At 37.5% G+C, this 25,349-nt stretch overlaps 1 pseudogene, besides 4 other annotated features; it reads right to left on the reverse strand.

The window, feature by feature from the left end:
- On the reverse strand, positions 1,027-2,102 carry LOC646388 (zinc finger CCHC-type containing 9 pseudogene; annotated as a pseudogene).
- Positions 17,014-17,214: a silencer, noted in NCBI's record as "peak1262 fragment used in MPRA reporter construct". NCBI's record gives its function as "represses an SCP1 promoter by STARR-seq MPRAs in K562 erythroleukemia cells {active_cell/tissue: K562}" and the evidence as "EXISTENCE:reporter gene assay evidence [ECO:0000049][PMID:32103011]".
- Positions 17,014-17,554: a biological region, named in NCBI's record as "NANOG-H3K4me1 hESC enhancer GRCh37_chr11:40121095-40121596".
- Positions 17,053-17,554: an enhancer, noted in NCBI's record as "NANOG-H3K4me1 hESC enhancer chr11:40121095-40121596 (GRCh37/hg19 assembly coordinates)". NCBI's record gives its function as "activates a minimal SCP1, AML or CMV promoter by ChIP-STARR-seq in naive H9 embryonic stem cells {active_cell/tissue: H9 hESC(naive)}" and the evidence as "EXISTENCE:reporter gene assay evidence [ECO:0000049][PMID:30033119]".
- Positions 17,555-18,054: an enhancer, noted in NCBI's record as "NANOG-H3K4me1 hESC enhancer chr11:40121597-40122096 (GRCh37/hg19 assembly coordinates)". NCBI's record gives its function as "activates a minimal SCP1, AML or CMV promoter by ChIP-STARR-seq in primed H9 embryonic stem cells {active_cell/tissue: H9 hESC(primed)}" and the evidence as "EXISTENCE:reporter gene assay evidence [ECO:0000049][PMID:30033119]".

The following is a 25,349-nucleotide window of genomic DNA, read 5'->3' on the forward strand; positions in this document are numbered from 1 at the left end:
TCCTTACAATAAAATACCTGGAGAGTCCCTGCCTCTGCATAAGAAGGCATCTGGGTTTACTTATCTGCTATGCCATTGCCTGAATGACTAACTCAATTCAGAAGAGAAAGGAATCAAGTCTAAGGTTTATTATCTAATTCAGCTTTATAAATAACAAAGCATATGTTTTGATCCCTATGTAACTCCAAAGACTATTTCTCCATTTGTTAAAAGTCTGATGGTAAAAAGACTAATAATTAATAAATGGGATCCTTCAAAAATCCCAGCATTTAAGGGAACACATCATTCTTGGTATATTTTGCCAAAAATTAATAACATGAATTACCAGAAAAATCAGACAAATTGAAAATATTTTACCAAATTCTTAGCCAATCAGAAGTATAAAAGTCATGAAAGACAAAGGAAGATGGAAGATCTTTTCCAGATTAAAAGAGCCTAAAAGTACATGAAAACTAAATGAAACTGGAATTCAGAATTGTATCCTGGTCTAAATAAAGAAAGAAAGAGAAAGCAGGGGGGAGAGAGAGGGAAAGGGGGGTAGAGAGAGAGAGAGAGAGAGAAAGAATGAATGAACATGGATAATTAGCAAAATTTGAAATAGAATTGAATAAATGTTAATTTCCTAGATTCAATAATTGTGTTTATATAAAATGTTACCATTTGGAAAAGCTGAGTAAAGAGTATTTGAGAATTGGGAACTCTTTGTTCTTTTTTTTTTTTTTTCCCAGAATAATCAGATAAATGGATTTTCACTCAATATATTTTAAACAAAGATTTTGTGCAACTTATACTATTATAATAATAAATTGATAGTTTGAAGCAAGAAAATAATACAAAGAAAAATTCATTTCCAAATGCAAAGCAGTATCTTTGCTCAGGGGTGATTCACATTTATGTGTAATTTTGCATTTTCAAAAAGATGATTGTTACAATCAGTTATATCGCCACTTAGTTATGTCTAAGTTGTATCAGTTAAACATATGTTCCTTTAGAAAATTCTATTTAATATTATTATTTCCTTCAGTGATTTTCTCCAAACAGTGATAGAAGTACTTCTCAATGGACAGAATACACAAAACTGTTTTTGACTACATCTCGATCATACTGACACCTACAATAAAGGCTTGACTCCAAGGGTGCCCAGCTCTAATTTGTGAAGTATGTCCTGTTTGGAAAGTAACAATGAGGTTGTAAGTAGCAACAGTACTTACTCATTATCAAAAAATAACAATTTTAGGTATCTTTGTTTTGGATTTCTGTAATTTAAGTCATCCAGTTTCTTCAGAGTCTCCACTCACTCCCTTTGACCAGCAATCAACTGTGACCATTCCAAAATCTGAATTCTGACTTTCAGGACAATCCTTCTTAAAATATTCCACAGAGCCACAAAGTTTGCAACCACCACCATAAGCACAGAGTCCTTTGGGATGATCAGGACAAGATCTGGACAGCTGTCTCATTTCCCCACAAACAAACATTTCGCAAAAGGAAATTAATTAAGAGCCAGGGCTACTTTAGCCCTGCCCTTGATCATTTTGCGCTCCACGGACCCAGACCCAGAACACGTTCCAGTGCCCGTATGTTGATTTTCTAGGGCAACTGGGCAATCTGCAGTTGTATGACCAGGTTTTCTGCAATGGAAACATACTATTGTCTTTCTCTTTGCTGCTTGTCATTCATTGTTTTCCTTCCCATAAGACTGTCTTTCTTTAAAGCAACTGCAATTTATTCCCTTACTGCCTGATCGTTGCTATCATCTCCCCATCGTTGCTATCATCTCCCCATCGTAAACCATCTGTGAGTTCTGCCTTAGGTATTCCATGAATCCATTCACATCTCCACTTAGGTACTCTTTTTTTTTCTGTTTTGCTTGTGGTGCGTCATTTTGAAGGGAGAGCCTATTGGCTTCAAGTTGTTGGTGCTTTGAAAGATTTTGTCCCTCAAAGGACTTTTTGTATCCTCCCATGATGCTGCAGGCAAGGGTCTCTTGTTATGTGTGGTGGTAACTTGTGCCCACCTGGTCACAGTTTCTTTGGAGGTACCTTATCAGTTATGCGTGAACCGCCTAGAGCAGTTAGCAAGCCAGAGAAGCCTAACCCCCTATGGCAGCAATAGCACTCAACACTAGAGGTAGGAATTTCTTGTTATATTTTTGTGACTTTTGTATAAAATTATTTCAAAATGAAAAGTTAAAAAGCAATAAATAACAAAAATAAATTTTAAAAGCTAATTCACCAATTTTGAGAAGCAAAAACTTGAACAGAAATACTCCCAATTTCCTTGCCAAAACCTTTGCTTTCCCAGAAGTATTGTGTTCATTTATTCAAGGTATTAACCATTCTCATACTACTAAATCTAAAACCCTAAGCACATTTTGTGGTTGGTCCTGTTGGATTATCCTTGCCTTTTCTCTGTTTTCTTTGCATTAGCCCTGGGCACTGGTTATATTTCTAAGGCTTCTAGTTAGGCTAAGTCAATTGTATACTACTGGAATTTATTTGCTTAAAGAAAAGCAAAATTGCATCCAAAACAAATATACTGTTTTATTACATTACGATATCAGTATATACATTAAAATGGAAATTTTCTCTTCATGACTCAAAGAAAAAATGTAATTATTATTATGATACTATTTAATCACTGTATCTGCAAATAAAATTGGGATTCCAGATTGAATCCTGGTCCAAAAAAAAATTACATGAGTAATTGACAAAATTTAAAATAAAACTGCATAAATGTTAATTCCCTAGTTTTGATAATTACATTCATATAAAATGTTATCATTTGGAAAAGGTGAGTAAAGGGTATACAGGAATTCTGTGTTCTATTTTTTTTTTTTTTTTTTTCAGAAAAATAAGCTGATAGCAAATGCGTTTTCGTTCAATATCTTAAAAATATTGTGACATTTTCTATATTGAAGATAACAACTCTTTTGATGAAACAGTCAATAATTAGAGAACCAGTGTTCCAATGAGCTTATTCAGACATTAGCAACATCAAAAGAGGATATATGGTTGATCTAGTCTTTACTTGGCCTATATGAGCATGAACAGAGACTCCTATAACACCTCACACACACACACAAATCACACACAAACTGCTTATCTATAATACACGCAATTATGTCGTTCCCATTCTTAAAACACATATCAACAAACAAAATGACGTCTCCAATTTTCATTAAGGAAAAATGTCCAAACGTCTAACTGCTGATTTCAAAGCTTTGCATAACCTGGCCCCTTTTCAGCCTCCTTCTTGTTACTTCCCACATGAATCCACCTTTTTACTTGCTATTGTCAAAACATTCCACGCTGGAACACCTCTGTCTGGTGCTGATCCCTCTCTCTAGAATTTCATACACTCTAATCAACGAAGTACCAACTAAGATTCATGTGACCTTTATATCCCTTAACTGTAACCCAGTTTTTTCTTCTGAGCTCCAGATCATGTTTTCAAATGTTTACTGGCCATCTTCAGTTTGATGTCTCACAGTTTTTCAAATTTGTACAGACCTCAAAAGAGTAATGACTTTACCTACCACCCAAACACAATTAATGAATGAAACTACATTTCAATAATTTCCTCAAGTAAGAAATAGTTTCATCCTTAATTCACCTTTCCCTTGCCACCTAATATATACTCTGCTGTATCTTTTGAATTTGTGACCAGATAATCTCTTGAGTTCAACAACTTCTTTCTAGTCTTACTCTAATGCTTTAAACAGCCACTCACTTTTATCAGCTAGATTATCATAGCAGCCTCAAACACAACCCAGCACATCCCAGTCTCCACACTACAACCAAAGTAACTTTCTAAAATGCAGATATGATAATATCATTGTCAGCTTAAACTCTTGCTCTTACAATGAAACACCAAATCCTTAACATGACTTCTAAATCCCTTTGCAATCTGGCTAATGCTTTGCTATCCAGTCTCATTTCCCTTCACTTTATCACTATTATGCTCCAAATATACAGTAGTAGTGTCAGTTCCTTAAATATACTCTACTGCCTATAGTAGGCAGTCTTTAAAACAGCCCCTAAAAATCTTTGCCTGATGCTATTCATGATGTTGTATAATTCCCTTCTTTTGAGTGTGGGTTTGACTTAGTGACACATTTCTATCAAAGAGAATGTGGCAAAGATGGGATGTCACTTCCGAAATTAAGTTACAAGAAGACTCTAGCTTCCATCTTGCTTGCCTTACTCTTTCGTTTCTTGCCCTAATGGAAGCCGGCTACTGAACTGTGAGATGCTCTATGGAGAGGCACATGTAGCAAGGAAGTAATTTTTCTGATCAACAGCCAGATGAAATAGAGAGGAACTGAGACTCTCAGCCCAACAAATGATGAAAGACTGAAACTTGGTGAAAACATTATTAATGACCTTGAATGTGAATTCCTTACCAGTCCAGCTTAGAGATGACTGCAGCCCTGCCCAGCAACTTAACTGTAGCACTGTGAGACCCTGAAGCCAGAGGATCCAGCCAGTACATGCCTGGATTCTTGATGCACGAAAACTGTCTTTGTTGTTATTGCTGTTTCTAGCCTCTAAGTATAAACATAATTTGTTACTCAACCACAGAGAGCTTATACACTGCCCATCACATCAAGGATTTACAAAACATATTCTTCCGCCTGTAACATTTTCTGTTCCTCTATTTTCCAACTCCTTTTATTTACTACTTTCTCATTCCTCCTCCCTCCACTTTCTTTCTCCACGCACCCTCCTTCTATTATTCTTTAAGTATTATTTTCTTCAGAGTGTTTTTTGTACCCCTAAGTGTGAGACAGAAGTCTTTCCTGTGTAGTTTTCCTAATATAAACATGAGCATCTCCCACTAGATCACAGATATTTTTCACAGTTATATCTCCATGCCTTATACACCCTAGTCCATAATGTATATTTATTACTTTTTTTGTCATTGTTGTTAATAAATGTGAAAAGTACTGGCAAAATCTAAAAGGGGGTTATTAGTCATAATATAATATACAAAATGAGTTGTAAGGTACAGGAAAATAAAATAACTACAAGAAATAAATCTGAAACCAATGGTTTACTGACTGATATATGCTGATAGTGCAACTTGAGGATACAAAAGAAGAAAGAAACAACAGTCTTGATTCACATATGTATGCGGTTCCCAGTTACCTAAAAGTCATTTACTTCTTCACCTCCAGAAAGCCAAAATTGGACTTGCTAATTTGTTGAGACTCTCCCATTCTGGGCATTTGGCACATCAAAACACCAGATGGTCACTTACATCAAAGAATCCTGATGATAAAAGAGATTTTTCACCTAGACCAAACCCAAAAGACTCCGTGGCATATTGATTTATTATTGGGCTCTTATTCCAAGATCAAACAGGTCCCAATGCAGCCAGATATCAATCTGAACTAGGTATCAGTTTATCAAAAAGTGAGAAGTAAGCAGATGAAGCCAGTCAAATGCCAGAACTTATATACACAATCATGAAAACTGAAGTTCCAGAAGAGAACCTCAGCTCACATTATTACAAAAACTGAAACAGCCTTTTGATTTAGTAAGACTAAAGCCACCTCCTGTGAATTACAGAGAGGTATGAGTAAAGATTTATAATCAATAAAATGAAATCAACAAAAAAAAAGTCAATAATTTACTAAATATTTACTAGTTGTGTAATAGTAAAAAGAACCAACTTTTTTTTAAACATCTACTGGACATCAAACACTGTGCCAATGCTTTGCATCCATTATCTTGTTTACTCTCTCACTGAAATTATAATAAAGTAGGCAGATAAGGAAACCAAAGGTAGGACAGTTTGGGCAACTTCACCAGCATCACAGTCTTAATAAAACTCTGAGCTGAAATTTCAAGCTACAGTTTACTTCAAAGTCAATGTTCTTTCCATTACGTGACAAAGTACTTCCCTTCTACATGAATAAAAGAAGACTGTGCCAAAATCCTGTGGATTTAGAGGGCCCATCCTGGCCTCCTTCTGGTTATGCCACGAATTGGGTGAAACCACAGCATCAAAAGAACATGCCCACTAGAGCCTGTACCCACATGTTAGTCCACATGCTAGTCTGCTAGGGCTTGAGATTTGTTTGCCCAAACATTTCTGGGTCAAATTAAGACAGATTATAGCACATTCAAAGCCCTGCAGGATGGCCAAGGGGCATTGTGGTGGAGGTGGGAGATTTTGTGTCTTGGTGGTTCCAGCAAGAGCTGCATGGAACAGGAGGAGAAGAAAGGGTGGCAAGGGTTTGGCATGACCCTCCCTGAGTCACTCCATTCTGAGAGCTCAAGAAAGCTAAGTTCATACCTGCCTTCCAGGCCAGAATAAAGGCACATATTTGTCAATGTAGGGAGACAGAATGTATTTTATTTAACAGTATATTAGCTTATTTATAACTTTTAGCTATTTAGAAATATGGTTTGTGGCCTTCCATTAGTATTCTTACCCTGAATACCATGAATATTGTGGAGGGGGACTGGGAAATAAGCATACATTGATTGATTCAGGGAAGAAAAAAATTACTTAATTCAGAAATGTCTCATGAGTAAGATTATAAACATAGTTTATATCATATTTAGAAATTCTGGTTATCCTACCTACTTCAAAAAAAAAGACTTGAAGTGATTTATATTAAAAGACTACAGGAAATCAGACAAAATAGCAAAAGGAAATTTTCAACCACAAAAACCAAAGGAGAAAGAAACATAAAAATGTAGGCTAATAGTTTATAAAGAGCCATAAAGGGCACATGCACTTAAATCGACTCTGTTCTACTTATACTGAGAATCTTGAAAGCACTTAACTTTAAGTCACACGGCTCTTACAGACCAAATAATTGTATTAAGTGAAAGTCTTTCCACACTGTGAACACTACACAGCGTGAAGCTGAAAGACTCCTCTGCGGGTTCGTTAGCATAGTTGGATACGCAGTTCTCCCCACCTGAAATTTTTTAAGAGCAAAAGAAAGGACCAGCCAAAAGAGAAACGCTCCCAGGTAAACTCCATCCTTGACAAGAAGGCTTTTCAGCCCGTGAATATCATCTTTCCTGCAATATCCACATATGGAAGTAGACCAACTAGAATCTCAACCATAAGTTGGAGAAGTACATTCTACCTCTGCAGATAACAAGAAAATAATTCATCATTATACACACTATGCTTCTAAAATGTTTTTTAAACAATTTGCATTTAATAACGTAGTTATAAGTTTTAAATTATTTTTTCTATCTTAGTAAAATGTAAAATGTCTGTTTTTGTGGACTCTGATAACAAATACTTTCTGTATTGAAGATTAGTGCCTATGGTATTGGGAGTAGAGTGAAGAATACATTTATATATTTGTTTATTCATTCATTAGAGAGTCATCGAGGGAGTGCTTACTCTCCTGAAAGGTAATGTACAAGCTTTTCTCAATAATAAATCAGGCAGAGAGTGAGGTATTAAGTAGATAACATCAGACTTGGCCCAGCAGTCTTGGAGTCTATAGTACAGTGAGAGTTAGAAAACATTTCCTATACAGAGCACATATTAAATATTTCAGGCTTTGTGAATGAAGAAGAAAATTTGAGGTTATAATGTAGGTACTTAGCCAGAGAGAAAACAAATTTCTATTAATTTTGTCTGGAGCCATACCAAAAAGCAAACAAACCAACCAGGGTTATGGGGATAGATTTAGTCTACAGCTATTGTGTGATGACACCTCGTATAAGTGTGTAGTCATCCTTCACCAGTAATTCTGGACTTTGTGTGAATTAGCAGAAGCTGGGCCATAATTTAATTTTATCAAGATGTTTTCACCCACCCATTTATTCATTCACTCATTCATTCATCAAATATTTTGTAACCTTTCACATTGTGCCAGAATATATAAAGCTTAACTTTTAGTGCATCCTAACACTCTATTTTATTTTCATAATTACCCATTTAATAAGTATAATATGAAAAAAAATTACACACACATTGTCCCAAGTACACCATGCACTGTAACACCGAGAAAGTATGAGCTTCAATTTAAAGATGAGGAAACTTAGAGACAATTTAAGAATAAGGGTGTCTTAAAAACATTCTCATTGACACTAAAAATGTGGTTTTTTGTTGGTTGTTTGTTTTGGAGTCTCACTCTGTCACCCAGGCTGGAGTGCAGTGGTGTGATCTCGGCTCACTGCAAGCTCTGCCTTCCGGGTTCACACCATTCTCCCTCCTCAGCCTCCCAAGCAGCTGGGACTACAGGTGCCTGCTACCATGCCTGACTAATTTTGTTTTTTTATTTTTAGTAGAGACGGGGTTTCACCGTTTAGCCAGTATGGTCTCAGCTAGTCTCAATCTCCTGACCTTGTGATCCACAGGCCTCAACCTCCCAAAGTGCTGGGATTACAGGCGTGAGCCAGCACGCCCAGCCAGTTAAAAATATGTTTTAAGCACAGCCTTGGGTGGTCTTTCTTGGTCTCTTCAGCAGACAAGAGGAATGCAATGGGAGGACCACAACTTTTATTCAAACATCCAGTTAGTCATTAATCCATTTATTCATCCATTTCTTCATTCGTATTTATTGAGACTCTACTATATATTTAGCACTGAGTATAAGATATATACCTAGCCACAGAAAACAGAGTATTTAGTGACTTAGCAATTGATGCCTATCTCTCCTGAAAGGTAATGTATAAGCTTTTCTCAAGAAAAGGCTTGAGAAAAAGAATAACTTGAGTACTTGGGATTTGGCTGGTCATCGCTTTCTCCCTGGACCTGCTTATATACGCAGGTGAGAAGGTCACATCACCACACCCACACACACCCAACCCCTCCCTTGTACATAAAATATCTGAAAAACAGTCATGATGCAGTGCCATCAGCACCAATATCTATCTTTAGTTTCAATGTCCTGCTACACAGAATGATTTTAAATTACCCATTCACATTCAATTTCAAGTCAAGCAATTCCCTGAAATAAATCTGTAACAGCTCTGGTCCCACTCAGCTCCTGTGGGCTCTTGCTGTAGGCTTAGCACATTGGAAAATATTTCTCGCACAGATTGGAGAAAAACAACTTGGAAATGTTCTCTTTTCTAAAATGCATGAGATAATCAGCATAAAAGCTGATTGGTAATAAAAATCATCCTTTATTTGTAGTTGTCTAGATGCCATATCACATCTTAATACTTTATATGCATTACCACACATAAATCCTCACAGCCTCTTTATGATGAAGTTAGGCTATTATTTTCATATTACAGATGAAAAAATGGAATCTTTCAAGCTTAAGTTGCTTCCTTTATAGTGGATAGTGGAGGAAAGATTCAAACAAGCATTCTAAATCTAGGAGCCTGAATTTTAGTACTTCACTATAGAGCTGTTTGCTTAGTTGCTGCTCTAGGAAATATTCTTGCCCCTGAAGGAAATAGAAAAAGAAAAGTGTGGCAACAGCTTAAGTAAACTAATCATGCAGAAAGAAAAATGCCAAGCTTCTAATGTTGATCACCTGGGACAGATGGGTAATGATAATTGCCATCTTTACATATCTTTGTATTGTACTGGTTTTCCTGTTATAACAGGATGTATTAACTTTGTAATTTAAAAAACAGAAAAACTGAGAACAGAGATTTTTTTTAAAAAAAGGACAAAGAGAGGGAAAGAGAAGAAATGAACAAAGAAATGAAGGAAAGAAGACTAATAATAGGATTAAGCATGTTAGAAATTTCAATATTGATAATGACGTATAGTTGGGAAAAAATTATAGAAAACAGCTATAGATTGAATTGAATAAAGGAATGAATAAATGACTTTCAGGCTTATGGATTAATTTTTTCTTGATAAAAGACAAAATATCAAGATTTTGGAATTTACCTAATTACATTTGTGGAAAGAATCAAACTGGTTTGGAGAGTTCTTATTTCCATCCCCTAGCCTATAATCCCCTTAGGTCATTACTCTCACTGTATGTTCCCTAGAAATATCCAAGAGCCTCGTCACAAGATTGGACCATCCAGCTAAAGCTACAGGTGAAGCACTTCACTCTGCCACACTGTTTATCTTCCCTCTATCCCAAGAGACACACATGATAGGAGGAACCCTTGACAGTTACCAACAAAATTCAACCTCTTATCTTCACTGAAGCTTCTTTCTTTCTTATTCCAGGAAAGGCATATGACTGCCTCATTCTTAAAGATGTCCACTGATGAGAAATAATAACTTTTTTTATTCTTATATCCTAGGTCCCATCTATGTTCACAGTCTGAAATGTATTAATTACTTCTAACCTCAAGAATTATGATAGCCATTTAAATTCATTATTATGATAAAAGCACATAGTGGACAAATGATTACTACCCTCTGCACAATTAGTCAGTTTATATTCATATTCATTTATATTCATTAAGCCATAAGCAGGTATTGGTTAAGTGTGAAACCACATGACAAATAGTATGCCTGTGTGGTATTATACTAATTTGGGAAGTAAATTCTAATTACTTACATCCAGTATGAGAAACTAAATTTCCAACTATTGCTTTGCTATTTCAAGCTCATTCAAACCTCCATCAGAAACTTCATACTTGGCTCCTACTGATAGTCCCCTGGGTTTGTCATTTCATAGGATCTACCTATATAGTTACTAATGCATTCAGAGCAGCAGTTTTCAACCCTAGTGTACATTAGAATTACAAGGGGATCTTTTAAAAAATTGCTGTTTTGGCCTTACCCCAGATAAACTCAATCAAAACCGCTGAGGTATGCATGGGGCTTGAATGTCACTGTTTTTTTGAACATCACAAGGTGCTTCTAATATAGAATCAGAACTGGGAAAGGATGAGTTAGACATTTAAGTGGGAAGCAAAGTCTAAGGATAGAATCTTTAGGGGGAAATGATCTGGGTAGGAGCTTTTCTTATCTATACCCTTGGATTATAAGGCAAAGAAAAACATTCCTTATTCCTCATTATTCTAAACGGAGATTTGGAGCTTGTTCAAAAACACTTGGATAATAGATGGAAAGTTAAAATATATGTCAAGTCAAAATCCTCAAAATATTAGATATTAGTTTTAGTGAATTTTGGGCACATTTCAACTGGCCTGCCAACTTTCAAGTCCTCTGCAATTATTATCCAAAATGTACTTGAAACAAGCTTAATTTATTCTTTTATCTTCTCTTTGATGTAACTATAGATGGAAGTAGAACGCAATGTAATTGTGTTATTTCAGACAATAAAACAAATCATCTACCACAGAGAAGTAATCATGCCATTTAAATTTGTCATGGTTGCCTGAACACCTGTCATCTTTTATTTTTAGGGCCTGACTATATTCCCCTAATAATTCTAGTTGAAAAAGAATCATCAACACAGCAAAATAAATATTTCTTCAGGAAAATTACATGCAAGTGAAGCATCTAATCAACATGTAAGTACAGCATAGGATGGTGTGAAAGTTTCTAGGGAACACTCACATTCAAGAGAAATCAGCTTCATTCAGTGTGTGTGTGTGTTTTTTTTTTTTTTTAACAAAAAGGAAGCTATCTTAAAGCTCATTGACTATATTTCTTTTGATGAGATTCTTGTTAATTCACTCAGATACAATTAAAAATACTGAAGGTGGTAATAAATTCTGCAACCAAAGAAGTACTGAAGGAATCTCAAAGACAATATTTTAAGTGATAGGGGAGTGTCTAATGTGAAATTTTACTTACTCATAAATACCATGCTGTTTTAGCTTATAATTACAAACAAGCAGTGTAGCCAGTGGAAGGAAGGTATCCATTTTTTTTTTTCTTTCTTTGAGACGGAGTCTCGCTCTGTCGCCAGGCTGGAGTGCAATGGTGTGATCTCGGCTCACTGCAACCTCCACCTTCTGGGTTCAAGCAATACTGCCTCAGCCTCTTGAGTAGCTGGGATTACAGGCATGCACCACCACGCCCAGTTAATCTTTGTATTTTTAGTAGAGACGGGATTTCACTATGTTGCCCAGGATGGTCTTGATCGCCTGATATCGTGATCTGCCTGCCTCGGCCTCCCAAAGTGTTGGGATTACAGGCATGAGCCACCATGCCCAGCTGAAGAAGGGTATTCTTAAAGAATGCAGATATGGGACTTCAAAGCCCAACTATTACAAATCATTTAATAATATGTTAATAATTGCTCATAATTGACAGAGACTAGTTTCCATCTTCTACACAAAGCGTTGGCAAATTTTCTATAAAAAGTCAAATAGTAAATATTTTAGACTTTTTTTCTTTTTTCGAGACAGAGTCTTGCTCTGTGGCCCAGGCTGGAGTGCAGTGGTGCGATCTTGGCTCACTGCAGCCTGCACCTCCGGGGTGCCAGCAATTCTCCTGCCTCAGCCTCCCAGGTAGCTGAGATTACAGGCATGCTCCACCACACCTGGCTAATTTTTGTATTTTCAGTAGAGATAGAGTTTCACCATGTTTTTCAGGCTGGTCTCCAACTCCTGAACTCAGGTGGTCCACCCACCTTGGCCTCCCAAAGTGCTAGGATTACAGGCATGAGCCACCATGCCCAGCCTATTTTAGACTTTTTGAAGCATACAATCTCAGTTGCAACTACTCAACTCTGTCATTATAGCATTAAAGCAACCATAGACACTGCATAAACAAATGGGCATGGCTGTGTTCCAATAAATTTATTTACTAGCAGTGGTCTTTGGTAGGCAGCTAATAGTTTGTAAACCCCTAATTTAATTAAATTGTTTAAAAGTGAAATTCTGCCTCTTGAAACCTGACTCTTAAAAAGTGGTTTCAGGGAAAAGATGAGTAAACACTAGGAGCCTGAAGGCATGTAACAAAAACATCTAAGTTTTGCAAAAGTTTTCTTTTAAATGGATTAACGTGATTCTGGTGTATTTACTAAGTGACGCATGCATTTTACTTTAACATTTATTGCATCTTTACGTGAGACCCCTTTATGTTTTAGAATAATGTAATTCCTTTTTCCATTTCTCAAGACCCCCACAAGGTAAAGGAAAAAAAAGTGAACTGAAAACTCTGTAAACTGCATCATATTAGACATTTTCTAAGAGTCTTCACACTAAAAAACATACCACTTGGCAGAAATATGATTGAGGCCAGGAGGTGAAATCCCAAGACCACATATTAACTCAGCTCTGTTTACTAAGACAGTCATTAGAAATATGTGAACAGAGGAGAAATTGGCATCAACGTTGCAAGAATTATAAACTCTGCTTTTTACATTTATTCTTTTTACATTCATAATGGATTTTCAGGGCTACATTGTCAAGGTCTCTATTTCAGGTCACTGAAAGGATTCTGCAACTCTGAGACACATTTTCCAAGACACAGAAATAGTTTAGGATCAGACTGTGTGTGTGTGTATGTGTGTGTGTGTGTGTGTGTGTGTGTGTGTGTGTGTGTGATTAACCTTTGTAGAGCATGTTCTCTTTTATGGACCTAAGAAAGGATGTGTGAAATTATGTTACGGATTTATTAACGGCTCTTTTCAGTTCTTTAAGAGACATTTATTAAACAGGATTTAATAAAAGGGTTGTTTTATGTAAGTAGAATGTATGATAGAGTTTCTATTTCTCAAGAATAGGCATTGGAGAAGGGAAATAAAAGAATATGTACCTCTGGTCCTCATTTTCCTACCTTGGGTGGAATCTGCAGACTCATTCTTTATTTTTCTCATAGTGCTTAGTCTTAATATTGAGGACAGTCGGAAAAGTTGAGGAATGTAAACTCAAATTTATAAAGCTAAGAGTGGTCTGAGCTGAGAATTCAATAAATGTTAGCTATAATAATGTTATTAATATCATAATGAATAATAAGTATTATTACCAATGATGTAGATATACAAATGACATATTGAGAAACAACTGTTTCTTTCAGAACAAAAGGGAAACTATATTAATGAATAATGTGATTTTAAAGTCAGTACCCTTATAACTTTGATTATTTTGAATCTGTCAGAAGCAGGTGGAAAAATTAATAAACAATAAAGAGCATATAACTGGGAGTTTTAAACTATGAAACTACTAGAAGAGAAAAACTATTCTCCTACACATTCACTAAGAAATTTTTATAAAATGTGTGTTGGGCAGTAGCAAAAGAAAGGAGACTATAAATGTGGAACAAGTACACATGGATTTATGTCCACACATGTATATAATCACGAAAATATTAAAGTCATGCAGTTTAAAAGAAGTCAAAAATTTTAATGGAAATTTGGAACCCAAAAATAAAGGCTAAAATATTGTATCTAGTGTCTTGAGTGGCTACTAAATTAGTAAAAATATTTAAAATGGAAAAGGTGAATAGTTGGAGTTAGAAAAGAGGTAATGGTTTGATGATGTTCTACCCCTTTCCCGGCTGTTCCTGTTTCAAAATGACAAACAGGCAAACTTAGTAGGGTGTGGATTGATTCAAGGAAGGTATGGCTGTGTAAAGACAGAATCTGTCAAAATGCTTAAAGGCAGCACGTGAATATTTTAAAGTACAATATTTTCCATAGCCGTGGGACAGCTGAACAAAAGTTTCCAGGTATAAAATAAAAAACTATAAAAATAATTTTTCGGCAAACATGTTTGCATTTATGTTTTTAGGACCCAAGTAAAGGTAAAAGCAAAAACTATATATATTTGATTCACTGGATACAAACAGACATAGCATAGGTGCTTACCAAATTCTAAGTAACCAATCAAAATATAGAAACTCTAGATTATAAACTCCAGAAAGAAAACCTATCTAAATTCTAATACTAAATTTTCCATATTGTAACATACTCAGAAGGCATGTAATGAATGATGAGAGTCTTCCTCCCGGATACTGTGCTAGTAAACATCCAATCAAAGAACCAGAAAGAAACTGATAGAGAATCCAAACCATTTAGTGTTAGACTTACAGATTGAAAGACTGTGATTTTAAGATTCTGTGTGTGACGAAAAACTTCTTATTCTTTTTTTTTTTTTTTTTTTTGAGACGGAGTCTTGCACTGTTGCCCAGGCTGGAGTGCAGTGGTACAATCTTGGCTCACTGCAAGCTCCGCCTCCCGGGTTCACGCCATTCTCCTGCCTCAGCCTCTGGAGTAGCTGGGACTACAGGCGCCCACCACCACACCCGGCTAATTTTTTGTACTTTTTTAGTAGAGACGGGGTTTCACTGTGTTAGCCAGGATGGTCTCCATCTCCGGACCTCGTGATCCGCCCACCTCGACCTCCCAAAGTGCTGGGATTACAGGCGTGAGCCACTGTGCCCGGCCAAAATCATATTCTTTTTTGCCTTTCCTGTGTCCCCCACCCAATTCTGACATTTATTATGTTGATCCAGGTGAGATTACCTGCTCATGACTCTATTTTTTTTCATTGCTTAATGATTAGCATAGACATGTTTCTCTCTGTCCTGCACAACAAGCAAGATAAACCCAGTCATCATGACCCAGCAGAAGGTTCCAGCTCTCTTTCCATAAATGTTTTCAAAATGTTACTTATTAATACATAAGTAAATTTATTATTGTGTAATAAATATATACTGCTATGTTTTGCAATGCCAGCATAAGCAGACAGCTTGTGAATAATATTTTATAAAGAAAATTAGAAATCATGGTCAATTACTTACCAACTTTAATACTATCTTTTTGAAACAAATACCAAAGCATTTTAAAAGGCTTTCCAAGCCTTGGATTAATAACATACATGATGTCACCTAATATTGGGTGACAGGCCCCTGAGATGGCAGAGGTGTATTACTTCACTTCTTGTGTGTGCCTTGGTGTTCACAACAAGATGGTTGCCTGTAATCTGGTCTCCAGAGGTTTTATTTATTCGTACTGCAGCATCCACTACTTTCCTTGAATTTCTCTTCTGTGGTCTAATCACAAATATAAAAGCCTGCATTCCTTCTATTCATTATATTTCTTATCTGACTGCATTGGAAAACTGCAACTGTACTCTTTTTCTCTGAGATATTGTAACATCATTTAATAAGTTATTCCGTAGATGATAACCTAACTTCATTCTCATAGTGGACTTTGTAATTATTTTGAATTTCATGTTTCATTGTTCTTCCATTAAACGCAATTTGTACTTTATATTAAGGGATGAAAGAACCTCGTAAAATGATTAGTTAGCTATTTAGGAAACTTATCAAAGGCACTTGTTTTCTATTTTTTCAAGTCACAATAAACCAGTCCGAATGTAGATATCATGAGTCCGTGATTCTTCAGAAAATTCTCTTTATTGCATACTAATTGTGGGCTGCTTGTGTGATATAGGTCAGAAAATACAAAGTTGCTATATATATATATATTTTTTTTTTTTAAATTTAAGGCATCTTCTTCTTTCTTCAATCCCAGCTAGAGATTTATAACTTCACTGATTTCTCATTGAATTCTCATAAATTAATCATTTTGATATGAATTTTGGTTCACATCTATTTTTCTTCTCCATGACTACCTTATTGCCTATAAAGTCTAAGTTCCTTAGACTGCAACTTCACTTGTCCTATATCTTCTTCTAATTAACATCAATCACCACTAATTTCTCTAATTCCACTACTTTAAAAGAAGCTTCCCAGACTAGATGAAATTCCCTTTCTTTGCAGTATCACTTACCCTGCAATTTTACCTTAGAGCAGTTAACACAGCTGCAATTAATTATCTGTATCACTTGTTTTCTCTTTCTGGCCTGGGATTCATATTTAAAGAGATAACCTCAGGGCCTAGCATAGGACCTTACCTACAGTAAAAACAACAAATATTTCTTTAGTGGCTGTTTAATTAATGTTTTTCTCTTCCTCTTCACACTTATGAAATGTTATTTCTCACAGTTCTTTCTTTTCCCACTGAAATAGCTGTATTGCATAGTAGGTGATTTCACCCACTCTATTAGTTTTCACTACAAATTTTATATTGATGACTGTGAGATGAATATTACCAGCCCAGGAAAGCTTCCTATTGGACAACTCTAGTAGAATTTCCCATAGGTATCCAAACTCCATATAATTAAAATTTGGCTTTACCTTCTGAGACAGCCTGTGGGAGAGGGTCCGTGGAGAAACTCCAACCAGCTTGCCCACTGAGGTCGAACCTAGGGAAGGTCATGACGTTTGCAGCAGGGAGGAGCCTGAGCCTGGCACCTCCTCTTCCTATGTGGAACGTGGGATTCTAACCCTCTGGCCGGAAGTGGTCTAGGGGAGGGACTCTGGCCTTGAGAGAGTACCTGTTTCCCTCTTTTTTTTTTTTTTTTTTATCCTTTTCACCCAGTAAAACTCTTCTTTACTCATCCTTTAAACTGGTCTGCGAGCCTGAATTTTCATGGCCATGAGATGGACAAGAACCCCATCTTTAGATGAACTAAGGAAAAGTCGTGCAACATTGTTGCAGCAAAGTGGAGGCTCCAGAAGCCCTGAGTGAAATGGGGACTCAAAGCTTCTCACTGTTGCTTCTCAGCCTTTTAATCTTCAGACTTCTGAGTGTGGGGGAAGCCACGCCTCCACCCCGCGTAGCTCCCTGGCCTTTTCATGGCCTTTTCCTTCCTTTTTTGGGGCCCACCGGTAAGCAGCAGCTCCTTCCGCTCCCCGCTCCCTGCTGGGGTGGGGACCCATGGCCCAGGGGTCCTGCACAGCTGGCTGGCTGGTTCCCAGCCACTGTGGGCTGCCCCAGCCTTCCCCTTCCCTGTCCAAGGGGTTTAACTCTATCAGACAGTAATTAAGCTTAAACTTGTCTCCCTGGTGGAGGAACCACTTGCATATGAATAAGAGGTTGCATTTTCAAACTGTTTCTTTTCTTTCCCCTTCGCTACCCTGTCAGCAAGTTAACTTTTAAAGCTTTTTTTTTCTTTTAGAAGATGTTTTACTAGGCTAGCGCCCACCCTCCAACCCCCCAACTATCACTGTATTCGCTGCAAAGTTTTCGTGGTGAAATCAAGCTTCCATCTTGTTTTACGTCCTGAGGGCATGGCTGGTAACTGCTTGGCAAGGCTTAGTTCAGCAATACAGCCTGAGGGGATGAGCCCTCCCAGCTTAGATGTCTGCATGTTTGTTTTCCTAGCCCTGTTTCTTTTTTCTTTCCTTTTTTTTTTTTTTTTTTTTTTTTGAGATGGAGTTTCACTCTGTTGCCAAGGCTGGAGTGCAGTGGTGCAATCTCCGCTCACTGCCACCTCCACCTCCCGGGTTCAAGCAATTCTCCTGCCTCAGCCTCCCAAGTAGCTGGGATTACAGGCGCCTGCCACCATGCTCAGATAATTTTCATATTTTTAATAGAGACAGGGTTTCACCATGTTGGCCGGGCTGGTCTTGAACTCCTAACCTTAGGTGATATGCCAGCCTTGGCCTCCCAAAGAGCTGGGATTAACAGGCATGAGCTACTGCGCCTGGTCCCCAGCCCTGTCTCTTAAAGCGCCCCACCCAGCGACTGGGTTTTTTTCTGCCTATGTGTGTACTGTGTGTAATGTCTGTCAAAAGAGCTCTAATTAATTTGGCCTAAAGAAAGATAAGCACTTGGATCTAATATTTTTTAAAGGGATGATAAAATCTGTGGTAACTTTCAGTTCCTGTGACTTTAATCTTTCAGAAATAAAAACAGCCCTAAAAACTATTAGTAAAATGCAGATCACATGCAAAGTTTGCTAAGTATTTTCAGGTTACAAACTGCTTTTTGGGTTTTGAGAACTATTTGACTTGGCGGCTTCGTAATTAGTAAGGCCTGGGGACAGATGGAACTAACCACACTTAACTAAGAAGGCAAACCTTGGCTGCAATTAGCACACAAAGCAACTTACCAAGTTTTACCTTAAAGTTAAAATTGCTAGGAGTTCACTGAAAACTCCTAGAGATAGATTTACATGCAAGGTGTGTAAAAACAGTAAAATGTGTTTTTTAGTAAAAGGTTATAAGGAGGCATGGAAATGTAAACTAAAAGGATTGTTTTAAGTTAAAATAGGAAAAAGCTGAAGGTTCAAAGAAGTGGTGGAAGAATGGTGGAAATGAATCTTCCAGAAGAGGCTGTGTAAGCATATTGACTAAATTCAGTAAAAGGTATTTATAGTTTTTCTGTAAATTGAGCATTGAAATAAAAGCATAATAAGGTTTTCCTAAGGTGCTAATCCACTTTTTAGCAAAATTTGCAAAGGGTTATAAAAGGTTTTTGCTTCTTTAAAATTTCTGAGTCATTTTGGAAAAATAACTTACGGTAATCTGGAATTCTATTTCATAATATCAAGTGTTTTAAACCTATAACATTTAACAGCCTTTCCAAAGTCAAACTTCAGCTTCAAAATTGTCTCTCCTGGCTGTGCGTGGTGGCTCACGCCTGTAACCCCAGCACTTTGGGAGGCCAAGGCGGGCAGATCACGAGGTCAGGAGATGAGACCATCCTGGCTAACACGGTGAAACCCCGTCTCTACTCAAAATGCAAAAAATTAGCCAGGCATGGTGGCGGGCACCTGTAGTCCCAGCAGCTCGGGAGGCTGAGGCAGGAGAATGGCGTGAACCCGGGAGGCAAAGCTTGCAGTAAGCCGAGATCACGCTACTGCACTCCAGCCTGGGAGACAGAGCGAGACTCTGTCTCAAAAAAAAAAAAAAAAAAAAGTCTTTCCTGACACGTGGCTTTTCGAATACTTCAGGGGGCCCCTGAAATGTCCAGAGAAGAGAGGGAGACAGGATTATTTGACGTGTTTAGGTACATGGTCTTGCCAAAATAATGCTCAATCTTCTTTAGGTTATATCTTGGGGAATAATGATAACATATGTTCCCAAACTGTGTAGTATTTCTAAAATTCTAATGTCTAAGTATATGCCATCAATCATAATTAAGGTTGTTATGTTAAATTATTGTAAACCACGGAGATAACCAAACTTATTTGTCAATCCTATTTCTAACTGTAACTACCCTGGACATTTTGCTATTCACAGACAATTGTTGTTTGGTTTTAATCCTTTTCAAAAAATGGTTTATAATAGGCTATAAGACTCTGACCACAGACTGTGTGGCTTAAACAACAAATTATTTGCCCGTAGAGCTGGAGGCTAAAAGTTCAAGGCCAAGGTGCTGGCAGCATTGATATCTTAGGCTAGGCGCAGTGGCTCCCACCTGTAATCCCAGCACTTTGGGAGGCCGAGGTGGGTGGATCACAAGGTCAGGCGTTCAAGACCAGCCTGACCAACTTGGTAAAATCCCATCTCTACAAAAAATACAAAAATTAGCCAGACGTGGTGGCATGCAGCTACTCAGGAGACTGAGGCAGGAGAACCACTTGAACCCAGGAGGCGGAGGTTGCAGTGAGCCGAGATCACACCACTGCACACCAGCCTGGGCAACAGAATGAGACTTTGTCTCAAAAAAAAAAAAAAAAAAAAAGACCCTGACAAGTGCTCTCAGATACAATTTCTGATCATGTTTGAGAAATCAGGTTTCTGATAACTTTGGAGATTGTGACATTGGAATAAAGGAAAATGTACAGGACTCATAAAGAGCTGAAGTGTTCACGAATATCAAGCAAAACAAGATTTAACTAACTTGACTGAACTCAGGAAGCTGAGCAAATCTTTTTGACTTTTGCTTGGAATGTTGCTGATCCTTGTTTTGTTTTTCATAGTCAAGAAAACTTATTTTGAACTACTTAAGGCCTTTAATAATTAAGTAAGGCATACTCCTGTGGACAAAATTTGGAGCATGTTTGTTTCTCTCTGCCTGGTTCCTCTAGAATTTGGAAACTTTCTGTGAGTATTCTTAATTTATGGCAATATTTGCATCAGTGCAATAAGAATCCACTTTTCTTTGTGACAGAACACAATTGGAGAAAATGGTTATTTTACCAAGGCTTTGACTGGAAGGGTATGCTTTGATTTAAGGAGTCAATCTCCACTTGCAGAGCCAATAAAAACCCAATGGGGAAACTGGCCTCATATCCTTGCCTACACAGTCCCTATGCAGGGTTCCTCACCTCTGGTCAATAAACAGTATAACTTTCTAACAGGTCCAGGGCTCCAAGTTTATCTTGGGACCTTAAGGGGAGAGGATCACCCAACTCACAGGTATTTGAGAATGCAAGCCCATGGCTGGGCTCCGCTTTAAACGGTCTTATCTGAGATTCCTTGTGGAACAGACTTCTATCAAAGCCAATCCAAAAGGCCTATGTAGAAATAATTGCTCTTGCTGTACTTTATGCAAATAATCAGGCCCAGTATAAGACGGAAGTCTATTTTGAAAACCACTCAGTCCTATCATAATTTGTTTTCTAACAAACATGAGGTCTGGAGAGAAATAAATCATGCTTCAAAACTTATATATTTGTCATTAAATTCTAAACTTGTTGTTTTAAAGTTTTTTTGCCTACATTTTAGACTAACCCTGATTGTTCCTGTGAACCAACCAGCAATCTCCAGCTGTAGCTCAGAAAGAACAAAAGGGATGGGTAATGTAGAAATATGGACCAGTATTCTAGTTCTGAGCAATTATCCTGCAAATCTTTCCAGGTGATGGGAATAAATAGGATACCTATTACTCAGCAGTTTCTTTTTGGTAAAGTAAGACCAAGGGAGTAACCAAAACAAAGCACTATGCACCCAAATTCTAGCAAGCATAACTATAACAGCCAGTTATCTGGGTGTGTCACAAGACATCCTTTCCTCTCCCTTGTTGGAGGAGGACACAGTTCCACAGTTTCATCTTACCATTCAGCTTATGATAAGGAGTTCATGCAACCCCTCTTGAGACACATTTTTGTCCCAAACTCAATTCCAAGCTTCAGGTTAAAGCCCCAGGAAGGAAAACGATCTGAGGCATCCAGAAGCAAATGACAACATAGGTTAAAAGGCACAGTGTAGGTGAGTATGGCTGATTCCCACCGATTAAGCCAACCCCAAGCTTCCTGTTTCATGGATAAAGACCACGTTAATATCCATGGCATAAATGAGGTCTAGGGAACTCCAAGGCTACTGACAGTAGGTGGAAAAGAGACCTAAGTGAGAGCAGATAATTCCTGTTCTCTAGACCCCCCTGCTTCATGGGTGCAAGCCGCTTTAACACTCATGGCAGCACCTGCCAAGGTCGCTGGAACTCAGGGATGCAAGGACAGAAGAAGGGAAAGAGGACACTCTTCCTTGTCTCCCTTGCATACCCCGGTATCTCCTAAGAACTGAAGGGAACCAGGGATACCTGCTCCCCTCTTTCCAGATGGGTAGTCATTCATCTTCAGTCTGTATCCCTTTAGAATGCATTCTGAAGCCTTGGGACTCCTTTGAAAAAATGCTTTCTTTTTATTCCTTTCTCCTCCTGGGTCCTCTATTCACTAATAGGTAATTATGTCTCCATACTATGAGACAGTCCCCTCAGATGCATCCTCCAAACTGGAAAGAGTTAATTTCCTAAACCTTAAACTGATTGGCTTAAGATTGAGCTCAGGAGATGGGAACCCAGAAGCCCAACATGCTAGCAAAGGGATAAAGTTTTTTTTTGTTTTTTTTTGTTTTTTTTTTTACCAGTCAGGCTATTGGCCTCCATCTCCCTGTGTAAACTGGTAAAAGACCTCAGAATTTTTGAGCTGTCTTTACTCCTCCCCTTGTTTTGTTTAGATACATGTTTTCTAATAACCCGGTTTGTCTGTTCTTGCCTCAGGCCATCAAACTCCAAACTCTCATGCAACCAGAGCCTCTGACAATGGCCCCTTTTGCTGGGAACCCTTAAATAGGCCTCTGGGGACTGCTGTTTCCCCAAACAGCAGCCCTGTCAGCAGGAAGCAGTTAAGATCGGTCTTTGTCCTTATCCATAATCTAATGGCAGTTAGGTGTACTTCTTTAAAGGAGGGAATGAGACAGCCATGTGGGAGGGGGGTCCCTGAAGAAACTCCAACCAGCCTGCCCACTGAGATGGAGCCCTGGGAAGTTCATGACGTTTGCAGCAGGGAGGAGCCTGAACCTGGCCCCTCTGCTTCCTCTGTGGAAACTAGGATTCCAACTACCTGGCAGGAAGTGCCCTAGCGGAGGGACTCTGGCCTTGTAAGAGTCCCTGTTTCCACTGCCTGTCCCCGCACTGTGGCTGTTCTTTTCTTTTCACCCAATAAAACCCTGCTTTACTCACCCTTTAAACCATCTGCAAGCCTGCATTTTCAGGGCGTGGGATGGACAAGAACTCTGTTTTTAGATGAACTACGGAAAAGTCCTGCAACACTTCCTTTCCCAATCTTCACCTGGAACAATTTTTTTACAACTAACTATAAACATTATCTTCTAATCACCCCTTACCTGCTGATCTTCCATTATTTCCACTAGTCAACAAATGTAAGAAGCCTTGTTTCCTTCTCTTCTCTCATCATACAATGAGAAAACAAGTCTGGCTAACTCGGTTTATTGTTTTTTAATTGGACCTTAACTTCCACCAATTATCTCTCTGTTAGGATAGTAAAACAATCTCCAATATGGATTTCTCTTTGTCCTAGTCTTTTTAACCTTAAATTTTTTTTCTTCTGCCATGCTAGTAACCCATTCAAAGCTCAAATCTAATATCAATGCCACACAACCATTTAGAAAATGTTAATACTTCATCATCATCCGTAAGTTAAATTTAATAGGGTCAACATGCCATATACAAAGCTTTAAATCATTGTCTTCGTTTTGTCTTTAGCAATCTCCAAATTGAATGTTTAGTTCTATTATAGAAACACCAAGCCACTTGCAGTCTTCTATCATCATGATGTTGCTTGTTCCTTGACTTTGCTGTATTTGTTCTGGGAAAACTGACATATCACCTTCTACCACCTGGCTAACTCCTATTCATCCAGTAGGGCTCAATCTAGTTTGCTTTTATTCATATAAAAAGCAAATCTGATTCTCCCTCTTCCAACTACACAGCCCAGATCTGTTTCCCTTCTCCCTGATTATATAATATGTGCTACCTCTTCCATTCAATTCATCATATTGTATTTGCAATATTGTTAACTCTTCGAAGGCAAGAGCTGTGTCACTTATTTTTGTATTAATAATAACTTTATTGTTGGCGTAGCAAAAACACTCAATAAATGTTCCACGAATAAATGAATGAATGTACTTACAAATGAAGTGACACTGAATTGGGTCAAGGATTTAAAACTAATCACTCATTTTGTATTAAAAGTTCTACAACTAGTGTTCCATTCTCAAGTCTGTCACGCATTTCTTTATGTGGAAAGATTTTCTACCGTTTTGCAATGCGAATCCATATTAACCAGTTAATTATCTCATGTCTCCATTTATTATTATGGCAATATTTTTACTTTGGTTGCATTCATTATTTACCAAAGGTAATGCTTTTACTAAATACAAAAAATAACTAACAAATAATGAAGCATAGGGGCTTAAATTTGTCAGGAGCACTCAGTTGGGATAATCAGATTTTTTAAATTTAGTATTGTTCATTTCAGTTGAGTCTCCAACTTTCAGAAGTTAAGTGTCCTGCTTTTAGGGGCATGTCTTATGTTTTTTCTATTTTTTTAGCTACTTGGCAAGTGAAAAATGGTTGCAGCCTAATGGTTACCTCTTAAAAAGTTTAGACAACTTTAAATAGTGCGTTGTATTCTAAGAAGGATGAATTGGATGATTTTACTGACTTCATAAAAACAATGTACATAATGAGATGTTAAAGAACTATTGAAGTTAGTAAAGAGAATTTTATTTTCTTATGGAAAGGGACTAGAATATGCTGGTTTAGCTACTGTGGTATTCAGGGATATCCATCAATGACATTTGATTAGAATATAAAAGTGAATCATAATGCGACCCTAAAATAAAATATCTAAAACTGTATAATTGTGATAAAAAAGTGTTGATTGATTTATTTTCATCTTTGAATGCTGGCTGATCCATAACGTCTTCAATTTGAAGTTCCTCTACGAAATTCAATAATAGTCAATATAAAAATAGTTCAAACATTGCCACATTAACCAAGTCAGTGCTTCAAAGGTACTGTCCTATCCATTTCATTAGTAAACTTGACTGAACAAGAATAAGACTAACATTGATTACCAAAATGTGACCCCAAAGAGAAGCCAGTTTCCAGGAAAATATAATCCAATAGAACACAAGAAGTAAAATACACTGAGAGCATTAATAGTTTTCTGTTCTGAAAAATAAATGCTATTGCTTATACAAGACTTGCTATAGCCATCTGAAAGCTCCAATTCTCTTCTTTTACCTTGGGTTTTCTTTCTCATTATTGTGTATGGGAGAGTTTACTCTCAAAGTCTTTATCCTTGCAACGGAGATGATGATACTACCTTAGAGGGCTTTGTAAGAACTAGAGATGATATACGTAGGTGTCTTGCAAATGGTGGTTATGATTGTTCGTTCACATTCCCAGACACTAACTCTTCCTTGAGGGCAAGTTGTACTTTTGATACTTCAGTTGCACTCCAAGGAGTGTTGTC

Source organism: Homo sapiens, chromosome 11, assembly GCF_000001405.40.
Source record: "Homo sapiens chromosome 11, GRCh38.p14 Primary Assembly".
NCBI lineage: Eukaryota > Metazoa > Chordata > Mammalia > Primates > Hominidae > Homo > Homo sapiens.